Source organism: Homo sapiens, chromosome 17 (genome assembly GCF_000001405.40).
Source record: "Homo sapiens chromosome 17, GRCh38.p14 Primary Assembly".
NCBI lineage: Eukaryota > Metazoa > Chordata > Mammalia > Primates > Hominidae > Homo > Homo sapiens.
The window spans coordinates 4,025,679-4,043,736 of record NC_000017.11 but is presented as its reverse complement, the minus strand read 5'-3'; the positions used below and the strand labels follow the sequence as shown (position 1 = coordinate 4,043,736).

The window sequence follows — 18,058 nt, the reverse complement described above, 5'->3', positions numbered from 1 at the left end:
CGTTCGGAGAAGAAAGGCCAACAGGAGCAAAGGCCCTAAAGTAGAGAAGTCCCTCTTGGCAGGTGTGTAGGGATGGAGTGGAACACTAGAGGATGATAAAGGAGAGATGCTGCTGAAGGCCTCAGCCTGCCAGAGGATAGCAGCAGCAAGGTCAGAGCTGGCTTAGGAGGATTGAGGAGCATGCTGTGGGCTCAGGAGACTGGAGGCAAGTCCCAGCCTCCTCCTTATGGTGGCCCAGGAGTGCAGGATCTTCCCCACCTTCCTGCTCTGTGATGGCGGGGTGAGCACCTGGCCTTCTGCCCTCTCTATCTGATGCTTATCTATGCAGTGTGTATAATTCTGAGTTCCAGAAAACAGTCTGACACTCCACATCAATCCAAATCATCAAAATTCACTGGAGTCTCATTCCCCTGAGGATCAGCATCCTGGTTCATAGGCAGTTTATTCATTCATCAAGTATTAAGTACCTGCCATGCTCCAGAAACACCTCTAGGTGCTTGAGATACATCACTGAAAGAAACAAAAATCTGAAAGAAGGCAGACAGTAAACAATAAATATAAATTATGTGGAATGTGAAAAGGTGATGAAATGCTGTGAGCACAGCAGAGCAGGCTCAGGGAGATGGGGAGGGCGGGGGTAAGAGAGCTCTGGGAGGACAGTCTTTCATTTAAACAGGGCTCAGGCAGGCCTCCTGGAGAAGGAAACAGCTGAGCGCAGACATGCCCAGCCATAGGCTTTTAAAATCCCAGCTTTAGGCCGGGAGCAGTGGCTCAGGCCTGTAATCCCAGCACTTTGAGAGGCCAAGGTGGGCGGATCACTTGAGGTCAAGAGTTCGAGACCAGCCTGGCCAACATGGTGAAACCCCGTCTCTACTAAAAATACAAAAATTAGCTGAGCAAGGTGGCGCACGCCTGTAATCCCAGCTACTTGGGAGGCTGAGGTAGGAGAATTGCTTGAACCCGGGAGGTGGAGGTTGCAGTGAGCCGAGATTGTGCCATTGCACTGCAGCCTGGGCAACAGAGTGAGACTCCCTCTCAAATTTAAAAAATAAATGAATAAAATCCCAGCTTTATTCCGTAGCAGCACAGGGGACAGTGCAGTGGTTTACTTGCCTCTTCATACATGTGGAGATGCAGGCAAATTCTGAAAGTTTGTTTTACCACTTAGATGCTGAAGATTCAGAAGTGTCATCTCAGAAGCCCATAGAGGAAAAAGCAGTTACTCCAAGCCCTGAGCAAGTGTTTGCTGAGTGTTCCCAGAAGAGGATTTTGGGATTACTAGCAGCCATGTTACCTCCCTTAAAGTCGGTAAGGGCAATTTATTTTTAAAAGTGGGGGTGGTGGTATGCATAGAAGAAGGTTTTGGAAAGCCACATACTGAAACAAATGATGACAATCATCTCTGTAGCCTTAAGGGTAGGATTAGAAGTTATAATTATTTTCTTCTGACCCTTCCTATATTTTGTAAATATATATGTGTGTGTGTGTATAAAACAATATATTTATATATAATGCTTATAATGATTTTTTTCTACCTTTTTATTTTGAAAAGTTTTAAGCTCATAGAAAACTTCAAAGAACAATGAATGAAGGTCTTCACCTAGATTCACCAGTTGTTAATATTTTGCTTTATCTCTGTTTATATTTTTTTCCTGAACTTTTGAAAATGAGTTGAAGCCATCATTGACACTTCACCCTCAATACTTCTCTCCTTAAAGTACATTCTCCTATATAACCACAATGTCATTATTATGCTTACAGTTTTTAGCATTGATAGAATAGTTTTATACATATAGCCTAAATACAGATATTCCCAATTATCCCCAAAATGTCCCTTACAGGTTTTTTTTTTAAATCAGGATCCTCTTAAAAATTCCGTTGTATTTAGATGTCATGCTGACTTTGTCTTTAATCTGCTTCCCTTGCCTTTTTTTAAATTTTCAAAACATTGACATTTTAAAGACCCTGAACAGTTTAGGTATGCCTTCGTTATTCTTTTGCATAATTTTCTAGACTGTTCCTGTAAATATATTTTTTCCATATGAACTTTAGTGTCATTTTTATCATATTAAAGAAGAGATCCTGTTAGCTTTTTCACTGAGCTGATAATGAATTTATTTATTAATTTAGGAATAGCTGACAATCTTTACAGTAGTCTCCCACTTTTTCTAGTAAACAGAGAGGAATCAGAGACAAAGCTAGCAGGCTGCTGAAACAGGATTTTCCAAGTTGGCAGGACTTTGGGGAAGGGACGGTGCCCGCGGGACCCAAGGTTTGGTCCTCAGATTTTTGAGTCCAAGGACTTTTTTTTTTTAGCAGTTTGCCTGGAGATGCTCAGACTCAGAGGAGCATTTTTACGTGAACTTCTACGTGGGAGTTGAGGCTGATTTATAAATCAGTCACAATTCACAGGGGTATGCGTCTGGCAGGAAAATCATTATGTGTTCCCTCTTGGTATGGAAATCCCTCCAGAAGACCACACTGTAGCTCAGAAGGTTGTATGGTGCACGTGGAACTAGAATGAGGAGAACAGGATATTTTGAAGATGTGTTTTTCTTCACCTGGATGAATTGGCCGGACCTGTCTAGGTAGCTGGTAATTCACCTCTGAAATCAGTACCCTCAGGCTTGGACAGTGCAGTCACTATCCTGGTCTTTGCCTGCCCTCCCCAACCTTTGGAGGCTGAGCAGGCACATCAGCCGGAGCCTTTGTTCTCTCTTAATAGCCATGACTGATTTCTGCTAACTTTAGCTGCCTCAGCTGCCTCTGTGTCAATTAGAGCTGCACCTTTTCCATAGCTCACTGGGTAGCACGTTGAGCAACCATCTCTTGGGGTAGGGCCCTTCTGCAATTGGCTCTTAGCCTTTTTATGTTGATTTTACCAATTTCACTGTAAGAGTGACCTTTTCCTGACTGGATCTCAGCTATGTTATAACCATGTGTGTTACGGCCAGCCAGCTTACTTCTGATGGGATGACCTGGTTAACTGCTCTGTGCCAGCCGACTGTCCCCATCCCAGCCCTGCTCCAATGAACATTTTTCCCTGCCCCTTCCTAAGTTATTTTCTCCTTTTTTTGTAATCATTCATGAAGTCTGTGTCATATTTCTTATAGAAACATGGTTATAGTTAAATTTTTACCCACTTTTTTCAGCCTGTATTTCTCTCTTAATTAACAGTGTAACCTTTTTACCTTCTCTTCCGAATAAAGTGAGACCTTTTATTCCTTGACAAGATGAGATGCTTTTATTTCCCTCATCATATCCCAAGTGTGCAAATTATCTGTAATTTTAGCTCTGGATCACTTGGTTGGTTGGCTGCTTTGGAGTTTTTTGTTGTATCTTTTGGATTTTGCCTCTCTCAAACTACTTTTAGAATTTTAGACCATATGGTAATTAATGATTGATAGTTACAGTGTGTTGGCTGCATGTTATTTATTAGTTACTATTTCTTCCTTCTGAATTATTTACTCTAATTCATTTTTTGTTGCGCTAGAATACTTCCTCAAGTACTTTTTGAGGAAAGGCTACAGGTAAAGATGGGAGACAGTCTGGGTGTGGAATTACAGGGACACAGTCCTTTTCATCCGGACCCCTGTGACATTGCTGCATAGTCTTCCACCATCTAGAACAACCGATGAGAAGTCCAGTATTAACATGATATCAACTGATTTTTTTTGCCTAAATATTTTCTTTTTTTAACCCTTGGAATTCAGACGTTTCATTAGACCGTGTCAAAATAAATATTATCTCTGTGAGAAAGATTTTGTAAAATAATTTTTAAAAAGATGTTCTCGGCTGGGCACGGTGGCTCACGCCTGTAATCCCAGCACTTTGGGAGGCCAAGGCGGGCAGATCATGAGGTCAGGAGATCGAGACCATCCTGGCTAACACAGTGAAACCCCATCTCAACTAAAAATACAAAAAAATTAGCCAGGCGTGGTGGCGGGCGCCTGTAGTCCCAGCTACTCGGGAGGCTGAGGCAGGAGAATGGCGTGAACCCGGGAGGCGGAGGTTGCAGTGAGCCGAGATTGTGCCACTGCACTCCAGCCTGGGCGACAGAGTGAGACTCTGTCTCAAAAAAAAAAAAAAAAAAAAGTTCTCTTTCTATGTGCCTTCCCAGCATCATTTGCTTTTCTGATTAAAAACTCCATTTTTACTTCAGCTAAGGAAATGCCTTTCTGCCATTGTTTGGCTTTGCTTCTGTGTCTGCCCCATTTGCATCTCCTGGATGCAGGGCGGATTTGTTTGTTTGTTTGTTTGTTTGTTTGAGATGGTGTCTCACTCTGTCCCCCAGGCTGGAGTTCAGTGGTGCGATTTCAGCTCACTGCAACCTCCACCTCCTGGGTTCAAGCGATCCTTGTGCCTCAGCCCCCCGAGTAGCTGGGATTACAGGCGCATGCCACCATGCCCAGCTGATTTTTGTGTTTTTTTAGTAGAGATGGGGTTTCACTGTGTTGGACAGGCTGGTCTAGAACTGCCGATCTCAAGCAGTCTGCCCACCTCAGCCTCCCAAAGTGCTGGGATTACAGGCGTGAGCCACTGCGCCTGGCCAGGATGGACCCCTTGAATCTACCCTCCATCTTTTCTTCAGTTTGGTTGTATTTTTCATGTTTATCTCTTGTTCTGAGAGATTTCATTAAGTTGACTTTTTAAAATCACCACTGAGGTTATTTTCCCCTAATAATCTTTTTTTTTTAGCAGGCACTTTGGAGGGCAAATTATTAGTTTGATTTTAGTGTAAAAACTGCCTAGATAGAGTCCTATAAGGAATATATAAAGAACTCTTACAACCCAGTAATAAAAAGACCTCTGTCACCATAGGTTAGTTTTGCTTGTTTTGAAACTTTGTATAGCTGGAGTAAGTCGCTGCATTCCTCTTGCCTGGTGGTGGTGGTTTTTTGTTTGTTTGTTTGTTTGTTTGTTTGTTTTTTGAGACAGAGTCTTGCTCTGTTGCCCAGGCTGGAGTGCAGTGGAGCAATCTCGGCTCACTGCAGCCTCTGCCTCCCGGGTTCAAGTGATTTCTCGTGCCTCAGCCTCCCAAGTAGCTGGGACTACAGGAATGTGCCACCACACCCAGCTAATTTTTATATTTTGAGTAGAGCCGGGGTTTCACCATGTTGGCCAGGCTGGTCTTGAACTCCTGGCCTCCAGTGATCCACCCACCTCGGCCTCCCAAAGTGCTGGAATGACAGGCGTGAGCCGCTGCGCCCGGCCTGTGTCTGGCTTCTTCTGCTCAACATTATGTTTGTGAGATGCATCCATGTTATTGTGATTAGTTTCCTTTATTCATTTTCACTGTTATCCAGAATTCCATTATATGAATATGCCATAATTTTAAAGTTCACGTTACTATTGTTAAGTGTTTCTAAACTGGAAATTACTCCAGACAATACTATGAGCACACCTGTCTGTGGCTTTTGATGAGCATCTGAATGCAGGCCAAACTTGGCCTGCCAAACAGTTTCTGCCGTTGTTTGTACCAGTTCACACTCCCTGCCAAACAGTTTCTGCAATGTTTGTACCGGTTCACACTCCCACGGCAGCACATGAAAGCTTTATTTGCTCCATATCCTCTCAAATTTAGAAATAATTACAAACTTATGTAAAAGTTAAAAGTACTATACAAATAATTTTATGCCTGAAAGTTGCCAAGTTCATGCCATATTACTTCTAAATATGTTAGTGTGTGTTTTCTACAAACAAGGAGATTCTCCTGTGTAACCAGACAGCAGTCATCAAAGTCAGAGAAATTAACATCAGTACATTGCTGCCATCTAATGCTTACTCCCTACTCAAGTTTCACTAGTTTGCTCCAAAAGTGTCTTTTATGGCAGGAGGATCAGAATTAATGTATAGGCCAGGCACAGTGCCTTGAATCTGTAATCCCAGCACTTTGGGAGACCAAGTAGGAGGGTTGCTTGAACCCAGGAGTTCGAGACCAGCCTGGGAAACATAGCAAGACTCTATCTACAAAAAAATAGAAAAATTAACCAGGCATGGTGGCACACACCTATAGTCTCAGCTACTTGGGAGGCTGAGGCAGGAGGATCACTCGAGCCCAGGAGGTCGAAGTCATAGGGAGCCAAGGTTGCACCTCTGCATTCCAGTTTGGGCAATAGGGTAAGACTCTGTCTCTTAAAAAAAGAAAAGAAAAAGAAAAAGAATGAACGTGTAGCAGTTTGTTGTCATGTCTTTTAATCACCTCTAGTCTTTAACAGTTATCAGTCTTTACTTTCGTGATCATGAGCTTTTGAAGATCACAGGCCACCTATTGTGTGGAATGTCCTCCTCTTTGGGGTTGGAGTTTATCAGATGTCTCCTCATAATTAGATTCAGGCTTTGCCTCTTGGGCAGGAAAATCACAGATGAGATGCTGCATTCTCATTGCAGCCTGTCAGGTGGAACACAGTTTTGACGTATTTCATTACTGATCATGTTTACTTTGATCACTGGATTAAGTGGTGTCCATTAGCCTTTTCTACCATAATCTTTCCACTTTTGTTATTAGTAAATATTTAGTGGGGAGAGTCTTTGAAACTATGTAAATATCCTGTTTCTCATCAAACAATTTATTTATTTAGTTAGTTATATCAGTATGGGTTCATGATTTCCTGTTTTACTCCATGAGCTATAATCCATTATTCTGATTACTTATTTTGACCAGTGGGAACCCATTCCCGCTGACTTCTGTGTCCTTTTGACATATCCCCATCATTTCAGCACTTCTTAAATTCTCCCTCCCCTAGCCCTAGAATCAGCCATTTCTCTAAGGTGACCTCATTCCTTTTGGTAGAGGATAGTATGTTGAAATGGCTTGAGCACTAGGTGGGTTCATTGCTAACAGGGTGTCACTGCTCCCCAGTCTTCCCAGTGCGGGCGGGCGGGGTGCGGGGAGAGAGAGAGAGAGAGAGAGAGAGAGTGTGTGTGTGTGTGTGTGTGTGTGTGTGTGTGTGTGTGTGTATTCTATATATTTATTTAGAGCAGTGATTCTCTTTTTTTTTTTTGAAGATGGAGTTTCCCTCTTGTCGCCCAGGCTGGTGTGCAGTGGTGCAATCTCTGCTCACTGCAACCTCCGCCTCCCGGTTCAAGTGATTCTCCTGCCTCAGCCTTCCTAGTAGCTGGGATTACAGGCACGTGCCACCACGCCTGGCTAATTTTTGTATTAGTAGAGATGAGGTTTCACCATGTTGGTCAGGCTGGTCTTGAACTCCTGACCTCAGGTGATCCACCCACCTCGGCCTCCCAAAGTGCTGGGATTACAGGCGTGAGCCACCGCGCCCGGCCTTAGAGCAGTGATTCTCAAACTGAAGGTATCCAATATGGCTATTTGACAGTGCCTTGAGACATTTTTGACTGTCACAACTCAGGGAATGCTCCTGGAATTCTAGCGGAGTCTACACTATAGGAATTGCTGGTAAACATTTTTAAATGCACAGGTGCCACTTACCCCACACACACATGAGAATTATCAGACCTAAATTTCAGTAGCACTGAGGTTGAGAAACCCTGATTTAAAGAATCCAGTCTTTAACGGTGAGAATCCTGGATCCCATCATCCTTCGTATAATTACCTACTGGATCAGTCTCACATCTCTGCTGCTGTTCTTCTTTTGAGGTGTCCTCCTTTCCTTGTTTCGACTCTTTTTTTTTTTTTTTTTGGACAGGCTGTAGTGCAGTGGTGCAATCTCGGCTCACTGCAACCTCTGCCTCCCCGGTTCAAGCGATTCTCCTGTCTCAGCCTCCTGAGTAGCTGGAATTACAGGCGCCAACCACTACACCCGGCTAATTTTTATATGTTTAGTAGGGACAGGGTTTCACCATGTTGGCCAGGCTGGCCTTGAACTCCTGACCTCAGGTAATCCCCCTGCCTTGGCCTCCCAAAGTGCTGGGATTACAGTGGACTCTTGACATGGATACCTCCCCACCACACTTGGGTCTGTCTCTCTAATCCAGGTTGCCCCCTTGCAGTGAGACGACCCTCACCCGCAACAGGCTGCTACTCAGTGGCAACACTCTCCTTATGCTGTTTGGACTCTGAGCCCCTGTGTGAGGGTGAACTCCCCGCGCAGATGCCCTCACCTCTCCACTTAGGTTCGGACACTCACATCAGGCTGCTCTTCTGCGTTTTTGCCCTCCTCACCTCACTCGGAGCCCAAGCTCCAACTCCAGAGGCCTGGGCATTCCTGGGCTTGGGTGACTTCCTCAGCCACCTGTGCTCTGACTCCTCTGCCAGACCTTCTCCATGGAAATTCCATACCCTGCTTGGGTTCTGACACCATGTGGCCTCCACCAGACCAACCCCCTGCCTAGATGCCTTCTGAGTTCTTGGACTGTGACACCCCTCCCAGGCTGCCATGTCAGAAAGACGCCTTCTTGAGAATCACTTTTTATTTCCAAGAACTTTTTGTTCTTTGATTGCTTTGTTTTCATACTATGGATATAGTGCCCTCTTGAGTCACACTGAGGATAACAACTCAGACATTGTAAAAGCTTTCTTCGGTTTTGTGCATTTTTTTCCTGTGGAAAATAACAAATGGTATAAGTATAGAAATGTTTGTACCAGGCCGTTTAGCTGAATGGTTTTTATAATAATGAAGAACTGGAAACAAAGTATTAATAAGTTGCAAGACACTATTTAAAGAAAGAAAAACAACTATTTAAAATTTTAAATTTATTTTACATATACATACATACACAAATATATATATATACACACACAGACATGTTGTTTGTTTTTTGAGACGGAGTCTCACTCTGTCACCCAGGCAGGAGTGCAGTTGGCATGACCATGGCTCACTGCAGCCTCCACCTCCTGGGCTCAAGCAATCCTCTCACCTCAGCCTCCCAAGTAGCTGGGACTACAGGCACGTACCACTATGCCTGGCTAATTTTTTGTATTTTTTGTAGATACAGGGTCTCACTATGTTGCCCAGGCTGGTCTTGAACTCCTGGGCTTGAGTGACTCTCCCGCCTTGGCCTCCCAGAGTGCTGGGATTACAGGTGTGAGTCACTATGCCTGGCCTATTTTACATATATCATGTGTAAATAAATATGCATAGAAAAAGGTTGAAAGACTATTCATCACACTTAACAGTTGTTATCTCCTGGCCATGGTTGCAGGGAGGGGATTTAGGGGAGCTTTAACTTTTGCGTGTTTCTGAATTATTTAAATTATTTTACAATGGACATTTTGAAAGGTGAGGGGGAAACCAAGTATTTTAAGTTTCTTTTTCAGGGTAAAGAAATATTAGAAGTAGGATTGTAAGATGAGAGCTGAGGATGTTTATTTTGTAAGTGATTATACATATGGCATTTATGAAAGCTACAAGCATGATTCCGTTAGCACTAGGCCAGCTGTAAATAAGGTAGGAGGGAGATATAATATTTAGCAAGTTTGGTTATGTGGATTTTGTACTGAACAGATTTCTCTCCCTCTCTTGGCAGGGCCCCACGGTTCCCCTGATAGACCTGGAGCACGTCCTTCCACTCATGTTTCAGGTTGTCATCTCAAACGCAGGCCACCTGAATGAAACCTACCATCTCACCCTGGGTCTTCTCGGCCAGTTAATTATCCGTCTTTTGCCAGCAGAGGTAGACGCCGCAGTGATCAAAGTCCTCTCAGCCAAACACAACCTGTTTGCTGCAGGGGACAGTTCCATTGTGCCAGATGGCTGGAAAACCACCCACCTGCTCTTTAGCCTGGGAGCTGTGTGTCTGGACAGGTAGCCTTGGTCCTCGCTCCTCTAACCACCTGCCCTCTATCCCACCTTGGTGTTTATTTGTTTAAGTTGAAGGTCTGGCTGTTGATTAATTTCGGTGTGCTACAGTTGTGTTGTCTGAGAGTTTTGTGGAAATAGAATTAGGTTCATGAGCAATGCTGTCAACCCACATTAAAACTGTGCTTAACACCAACGTTAAAACAGCTGAGCAGTCTCGACACTGGCTGCTGATTCAACTCTCTAATGAGGCATATTCTGTTTTTAATGAGCGGTAAGTGTGGGCCTTGAGGTTGAAGCAAATAAATCTGTTTTCGTTGTAAAAGTAACATAACCACAACACCAAATTTGGAAAACAGAAATGAAGGAATAAGCTGGGCACGGTGGCTCACATCTGTAATCCCAGCACTTTGGGAGGCTGAGGCTGGTGGATCACGAGGTCAGGAGTTCGAGACCAGCCTGGCCAACATAGTGAAACCCTGTCTCTACTAAAAATACAAAGAAAATTAGCCGGACATGGTGGCGTGTGCCTGTAATCCCAGCTACTCCGGAAGCTGAGGCAGGAGAATCACTTGAACTCAGGAGGCGGAGGTTACGGTCAGCAGAGATCGCGCCATTACACCCCAGCCTGGACGACAGAGCAAGACTCCGTCTCAAAAAAATAATAATAATAAAAGAAGGAAAAAAGTCACCCTGACTTGCACCATTTTAATACATCTGGTGCTGTCTCACTACATTTTCTTCTGTGTTTGAATATGAGTGTGCATGTGCACACACACAGGTGATTTTTATAGATATTTTTGGAAACACAGCCGTAGGGTGAGTATGTAAGTAACAAGTCTTGATTTTGTTTGCTCTTTTACTCACCATTATACGAAAAGCATTATTCTGGTAGTTTTTAAGCTAGTTAATGAATGGCTCTTTGAAGGCTTCTGGGTCTGCCTTGGAGTGTAGTGAGCTCTAACGAGTTGAGTTTGGAGCCCTGTGTACTGCCCCTAATGGAGCTCTTGCCTTCCAGCCGGGTGGGCTTGGACTGGGCGTGCTCCATGGCAGAGATCCTGCGGTCACTCAACAGTGCCCCACTGTGGCGTGATGTCATTGCCACCTTCACAGACCACTGCATCAAGCAGCTGCCATTCCAGCTGAAGCACACCAACATCTTCACCCTGCTCGTGCTGGTTGGCTTCCCCCAGGTACCACACTCTGAAGGCCTGAGGGCCTGGTCACCCCTTCCAGTCTTCACTATACACACCAAAGCCTCTGTGGCTTCCGGATATATAGGCATAGATCTCTTTGGAAGCTTTTTCCTTTGCCTGTACACCTTGCTTTTGTAGTATTGAAGTATTGTCAAGATTATGGGATGGTTTATTCAACTTGCATTTTTAACGGTTAAACATTTGATTCATTTATAGCCAGTAGTTGGCTTTGAATAATAGGTGACTGTAATATATCAGATTACAAAGAACTTCAAAGAAAATTGTCTTTCATTTTGGCATTCACCTTGACCTTATTTCTAATCTTCATGTCCCTCAACTGATTAGGACAAAGGGGGCTGTAAAAACATGGCCTCATCCAGCAAGGACTTAAACCAATTCTGTGCCAGCCTGTGGCAGACTCTTTGGACTTAGAGATGAGAAGATCCCTATCCTTGCGTGCTTGTTGAAATCAGAGGCACAATCAAAGGGGGCTGGGCTTATGCCTAAGAATTCTTTCTTGTCTCCATGTTTGAGTTGCCTTTCTGTCTCTGTCTACCACGTTCTAGGTCCTCTGTGTGGGAACCCGCTGCGTTTATATGGATAATGCCAATGAACCCCATAATGTGATCATCTTGAAGCACTTTACTGAGAAGAACAGGGCTGTGATTGTTGATGTCAAAACTCGGAAGAGGAAAACAGGTACCATGCGTAATTATTTTTTTCTAAGAATGGAAGAAAAATGCCTAATCCCTCCGTACCCTAAAATCAATGAAATTACCTTGGCTCTTGGCCTGCGTGTGATTTTTTTAAAGAACAAGTTATAGCTCCCCGAGCTTCTTTTTCCTTATTTCTGAAATGATGTATTGAATTGGGATAATTTCAAAGGCCCCTTTCCATGCTGTCTTTTTGTGTATATGGCTCTGTGTTTTTTGGTTGGCTAGATATATAGGTTCTGAACATTTAATTTCTCCATTTGCTGGTGTCATTTGCTTTCTATGGGTAATTTAAACATATTTTGGAGTCAGGTGACTACATGGAGTCAGGTGGCTGCACTTAAAATAATTGTATTAGAATTCATGTAACTTTCCATTTTGTTTTATCAGTATAACATTGAAAGTATTATATCACAAATGCCCTTTTGACTTAGTTTGCCAAGGCCCAGGCAATCTGGAGTATCTACCCATTACATTCCCAGTTCTGCTCGTGAAGCCATCTGCATTTTCACTCAGCATCAGCATTAGGCAGTGTCTGTGCTGTTTTCGTGTATGTAAATGTCTAAGATCTTTTCTTTTGCGTATGAACATCCATTTGATCCAGGACCATTTGTTGAACAGGCCATCCTTTCTCCATCCAATTATCTTGGAATCTTGTCGAAAATTGACACACATGTATCTGTCTATTTATGGATTCTATTATGTTTCATTAATCTATATGTCCTTACTTCAGTACTACACTTTTTTTACTATTGTAAATTTATTTATTTATTTATTTATTTATTTATTTATTTTTGAGACCAAGTCTCACTCTGTTGCCCAGGCTGGAGTGCGGTGACACGATCTCAGCTCACTGCAACCTCCGCCTCCTGGGTTCCAGCGATTCTTCTGCCTCAGCCTTCCAAGTAGTTGGGATTACAGGCACGTACCACCACACTTGGCTAATTTTTTGTATTTTTAGTAGAGATGAGATTTTACCCTATTGGCCAGGCTGGTCTCAAACTCCTGACCTCAGGTGATCTGCCTGCCTTGGCCTCCCAAAGTGCTGGGATTACATGCATGAGCCACTGCGCCCAGCCTAACGTTTGTATTTTTAGTAGAGATGGGGTTTCACCATGCTGGCCAGGCTGGTCTCAAACTCCCGACCTCAAGTGATCCACCTGTCTCAGCCTCCCAAAGTGCTGGGATTACAGGCATGAGCAACCACATCTGGCCAGACTATTTTAAATTTGTATAAAATTTTGAAATCAGGTCTTTCAGCTTTGCTCTTTTTCAGAATTGTTTTGACTCTTCTAGTTTCTTTGTCTTTTTGTGTAAGTTTTAGAATCAGCTTCTATAAAAGAGTTTCTATCAGTTTCTATAAAAGAGCCTGCAGGAGCCAGGCGCAGTCGCTTACACCTGAAATCCCAGCACTTTGTAGAGACCCCCATCACTACATAAAATAAGTAGCCAGGCGTGGTGGCATGCTGTAGTCCCAGCTACCTGGGAGGCTGATGTGGGAGGATCACCTGCAGTGAGCTGTGATCTCCACTATAGCCTGGGCAACAGAGCAAGACCCTGTCTCAGAAAAGTATATGGCCTTCTGGGATTTTGATTGGCATTGCATCAAATCTATAGATTAATTTGGGACAATACCTTAACCAGACAGATGTTCCTCAGTTTATAATGGGGTTATGTCCTGATAAACCCATTATAAAGGTTGAAAAATCATTACGTTGAACCATTGTAAGTCAGGGACTTCTATATTGAGTGCATGGTACATCATTCAGTTTATTTAGAGAATAAATTTAGGTTTCTTTAATTTCTCTCAGCCTGGCATATTGGGGTATGAGCCGTCTTCTCTTATTTTCTGATTGTGGCAATTTATGTCTTCTCTTTTTGTTTCCTAGATAGTCTAGCCAGAGATCTGTCAAGTTATTTGATCTTTTCAAAGGACCAACTTTGGTATCATTCATTTTTCTTTTATTTCTGTTTGCTGTTTCTTTGATTACTGCCCAGATAAATTTCCTTATTTCTTCTGGCTTTGTGTTTAATGTGTTGTTACTGCTTTTCCGGTTTCTTTTCTTTTCTTTTTTTTTTTTTTTAATAGGATCTCAGCATGTTGCCCAGGTTGATCTCAAACTGCTGGGCTCAGGTGATCCTCCTGCCTTAGCCTCCCAAAGTGCTGGGATAACAGGCATGAGTTACCACACCTGGCTGCTTTTCTGGTTTCTGTCTTTTTTTTTTTTTTTTTTTTTGAGATGGAGTTTTGCTCTTGTTGCCCAGGCTGGAGTGCATTGGCATGATCTCAGCTCAATGCAACCTCCACCTCCTGGGTTCAAGTGATTCTCCTGCCTCAGCCTCCTGAGTAGCTGAGATTACAGGCACATGCCACTATGCCCGGCTAATTTTTGTATTTTTAGTAGAGACAGGGTTTACCATGTTGGTCAGGCTGGTCTCGAACTCCTGACCTCAGTGATCCACCCGCCTCAGCCTTCCAAAGTGCTGGGATTACAGGTTTCTTAAGGTAGGAGCCATCACTGATTTGAGACCTTTCTTCCTTGGCAATAGAAGAATTTTAATGTTGTGCATTTCCTTTTAAGTATGACTTTAGCCACATCCACTATTTTTTTTTTCTTTTTCGGTGTCCCTTGGATTCAGTAGGAACATCTCACAATTTTTTTTTATGATATATTGTCATTTTCATTTAGGTCACAATATATTTTCCAATTTATCTTGTGATTTTTTTTTTCTTTGCTCTGTGGATTATTTAAAAGTTTGATGTTTAGTTTCTTAATATTTGGGGGATATTCCAGATATCATTTGGTTGTTGATTTCAGGTTTAATTCCCTTGTGGTCATAGAGCATATTTTTAATTAGTTCAGTCCTATTATGAATATTATTACAATTTGTTTTATTGTCCAAAATTAGGTCTGTTTTCATGGAGTTTCCATGTACACTTGAAGAGAATGCATGTGCACTATGTTGTTGGTGGAGTATCCTATAGATGTTAATTAGGTCAAGTCAATGGATAATGTTATTCAAGTCTTCTGTGCCCTTACTGATGTTTTATCTACTTGTTCTAACAATTCCTGAGAGAGGACTATAGAAGTTTCTAACTGTAATTGTATGTTTCTCTTTTTCTTATGAAATGTCCCTTTTTTATCCCTAATGATATTCCTCATTCTGAAATCTAATATTCGTACAGCCTCTCTTGCATTTTTAAAAATAGCATTTGCATAGAGTAGTCATCCTTTAGTATCCTCAGAGGATTGGTTCCAGGACTCCCCACAGATAGCAAAATTCGTGGATTAGTCCCTTATAGTTGGCTGTTCATATCTGTGGGTTTTGCATCCAGAGGCTCAGCCAAACTCAAATCAAAAATACTCTTGGCCCTTCATATCCATGGGTTTCACATCTTTTCACTTTAACCTACCTGTGTCTTTACATTTAAAGTGGATTTCTTGTCTTTTTTTAAAAAATCCAATCTGATAATCCCTGTCTTTTAATTGATGTGTTTAGACCATTTACATTTATTGCAGTTATCAAGATGGTTGAATTTAGGATTTTTTTTTTTTTTTTTGGAGACAGAGTCTTACTCCATCACCCAGGCTGGAGTGCAGTGGTGTGATCTCGGCTCACTGCAACCTCCACCTCCCAGGGTTCAAGCAGTTCTCCTGCCTCAGCCTCCCAAGTAGCTGGGATTACAGGCATCTGCCACTACATCCAGCTAATTTTTGTATTTTTAGTAGAGATAGGGTTTTGTCATGTTGGCCAGGCTGGTCTTGAACTCCTGAGTCAGGTGATTCGCCTGCCTTGGCCTCCCAAATTGCTGGGATTACAGGTGTGAACCACCATGCCTGGCCAGTATCTCACTTTTTGAAGCAAAAAAATGTAATGTATTGTGAGATTTATGTCATATAGAAGTAAAATGTGTAACAGCACAAAGAATGGAGTGGAAAATGTTGTAATGTTCTGACACTATATGTGAAATGGTATACTATTATCTGAAGGTAGACTATGATAAGTTAAAGGCGTTCAGTGTAAACCCTAGAACAACATTTAAGAAATTATTTGAAGGTACACTACTGTAAATCCTAGAGCAACCACAACAAAACCCAAAAAGATAAAGAGCCAATAGTGGAAATAAAATGAAATCATTAAGAAAAACAAAATAACCCAGCACTCTGAGAGGCTGAGTGAGGTGGGAAGATGACTGGAGGATAGGAGTTTGAGATCAACCTGGGCAACATAGCAAAATTCTATCTCTACAAAAATAAATAAATAAATGATGATGAGGCCAGGAGTTTGGGGCCAGCCTGGGCAGCATAGCTAGACCCCATCTCTACTAAAAATAATTTTTTAGAAAGCCAGGTGTGGTGACACACACCTGTAATCCCAGCTGCTGTGGATGCAGAGGCAGGAGGATCACTTGAGCCGAGGAGATCAAGGCTGCAGTGAGCTATGATCATGCCACTGCACTGTAGCCTAGGTGACAGAGCAGGAGCCTGTCTCTTTAAAAAAAAAAAAAAAAAAAAGGCAGGGCACAGTGGCTCATGCCTGTAATCCCAGCACTTTGGGAGGCCGAGGCGGGCTGATCACTTGAGGTCAGGAGTTTGAGACTAGCCTGGCCAACATGGTGAAACCCCGTCTCTACTAAAAATACAAAAATTAGCCACACGTGGTGGTGTGCGCCTGTAATCCCAACTGCTAGGGAGGCTGAGGCAGGATAATCACTTGAACCAGGGAGGCGGAGGTTGCAGTGAGCCAAGATTGTGCCATTGCACTCTAGCCTGGGGAACAAGAGCGAGACTTCTCTCAAAAAAAAAAAAAAAAAAAAAAAAAAGTGAGATATTGCTGGGTGCGTAGGTCTTATACCTGTAATCTCAGCACTTTGGGAGGCAAGACAGGATCACAAAGCTTGAAGCCAGGAATTCAGTGCCAGCCTGGGCAACACAGCAAGACCCTGTCTTCTACCACCCCCTAAAAAACAAGAGAGAGAGAGATTTCAAGAGATTTTAAAATGAGAAAACATTAGCTTTTATATTTAGCTATCTATTTTTCATTGCTAGTGCTCTTCATTCCTTTGTAAAGATTCAGTTTTCCATCTGGGATCTTTTTTAGTTTTGTGGGGGGACGTGAAAAACTGCGCTGAACATTATTTATAGTGCAGGTCTGCCGTGACATAATCTCTCAGTTTGTCTGGGGGACTTTTTTTTACTTCATCTTTGAAAGATAATTTTGCCAGGTAAAAAATTCTAAGCTGAGTTTTATCTTAGCAAATACTTTAAAGATGTACTTAAATACTTTAAAGGCTGGGTGTGGTGGCTCACACCTGTAATCCCAGCACTTTGGGAGGCTGAGGCAGGCCGATAACCTGAGGTCAGGAGTTTGAGACCAGCCTGGCCAGCATGGTAAAACCCCGTCTCTACTAAAAATACAAAAATATCTGGGCGTGTGGTGGACACCTGTAATCCCAGCTAGTTGGGAGGCCAAGGCAGGAGAATCACTTGAACCTGGGAGGTGGAGGTTGCAGTCAGCCAAGATCACGTCATTGTACTCCAGCCTGGGTGACAAGAGCAAAAACTCCGTCTCAAAAAAAAAAAAAAGAAAAAAAAAAGATGTTTGTCTATTGTCTTCTGGCTTGTGTAGATTCTGGGATGAAGTCTGCTGTCATTCTTCTTTTGCTACATTTTTGTAATGTCTCTTTTTCCTCTGGCTATATTTTTAGCAATTCAATTATGCATGTGCCTTGACATGATTTTCTTTATGTTTCTTCTGCTTAGGTATTTATTGAGCTCCTTAGATTTACAGTTTTCATCAAATTTGGAAAATTTTTGACCATTATGTATTCAAATATTTTTTCTGCCCCCACCCCCATCTCCACTAGGACACTTCCACTCTCACTGTTGGAAAGACAAAGTATTCCCAGCTCTCTGTGAGCTCCAGGAATTGTTCTGTCTACTGTAGCTCTTTCTTCTGCCCCAGATAGTTTCCTTTCACAGAAATGTGCAGGTCAGTATGCAGCCACAGACTCGTGAGTGACTCTGTGGATCTCCGGAGAGCTCTCCCCAACCCACCCCTCTCTCTCTGCATCTCCCTGCTCTGATATTCTGCCCTGTACATTCTAGCAGCCTTGACCTCCCTGAACTCTGATCTCTGTTTCTTTAATTCATTGAGACTGCTGGATTCTGCCTGGATGTTTGCTTCCCACTTTGCAGCTTGGAAATCGTCTGCAGATAGCTGGTGCTATTGGAGGGCGGATCTAGTTTATATCCCTTCTCTCAGGGATCATAGTCCTATACTACCTTTTGCCCAATATCTGCAAGCTATTGTTTCATGTTTTTTCAGTGTCCTGGTTGTTTAAGGTGGGAGAGTAAATCCAGTCTCTCTTGTTCTGTCTTGTTTGGAAATGGAAATCTCATGTGTACTAATTTTTTTTTTTTTTTTTGAG

At 42.7% G+C, this 18,058-nt stretch overlaps 1 protein-coding gene across 8 annotated transcripts in view; it reads left to right on the top strand.

Annotated features, from left to right (window-relative positions):
• The window catches only part of ZZEF1 (zinc finger ZZ-type and EF-hand domain containing 1), a 138,586-nt gene that overhangs the window by 99,294 nt on the left and 21,234 nt on the right, over positions 1-18,058 (top strand). For all 8 annotated transcript variants that reach the window (XR_007065288.1, NM_015113.4, XM_005256561.3 and 5 more), the window contains 4 exons: positions 1,169-1,308; positions 9,445-9,722; positions 10,735-10,909; positions 11,479-11,611. Coding sequence is in view for 7 of the 8 variants with exons in the window: in NM_015113.4 (NP_055928.3) it covers positions 1,169-1,308; positions 9,445-9,722; positions 10,735-10,909; positions 11,479-11,611 (726 nt within the window). In the remaining variant the exon portion in view is untranslated. The remainder of the gene's footprint in view (positions 1-1,168; positions 1,309-9,444; positions 9,723-10,734; positions 10,910-11,478; positions 11,612-18,058) is intronic.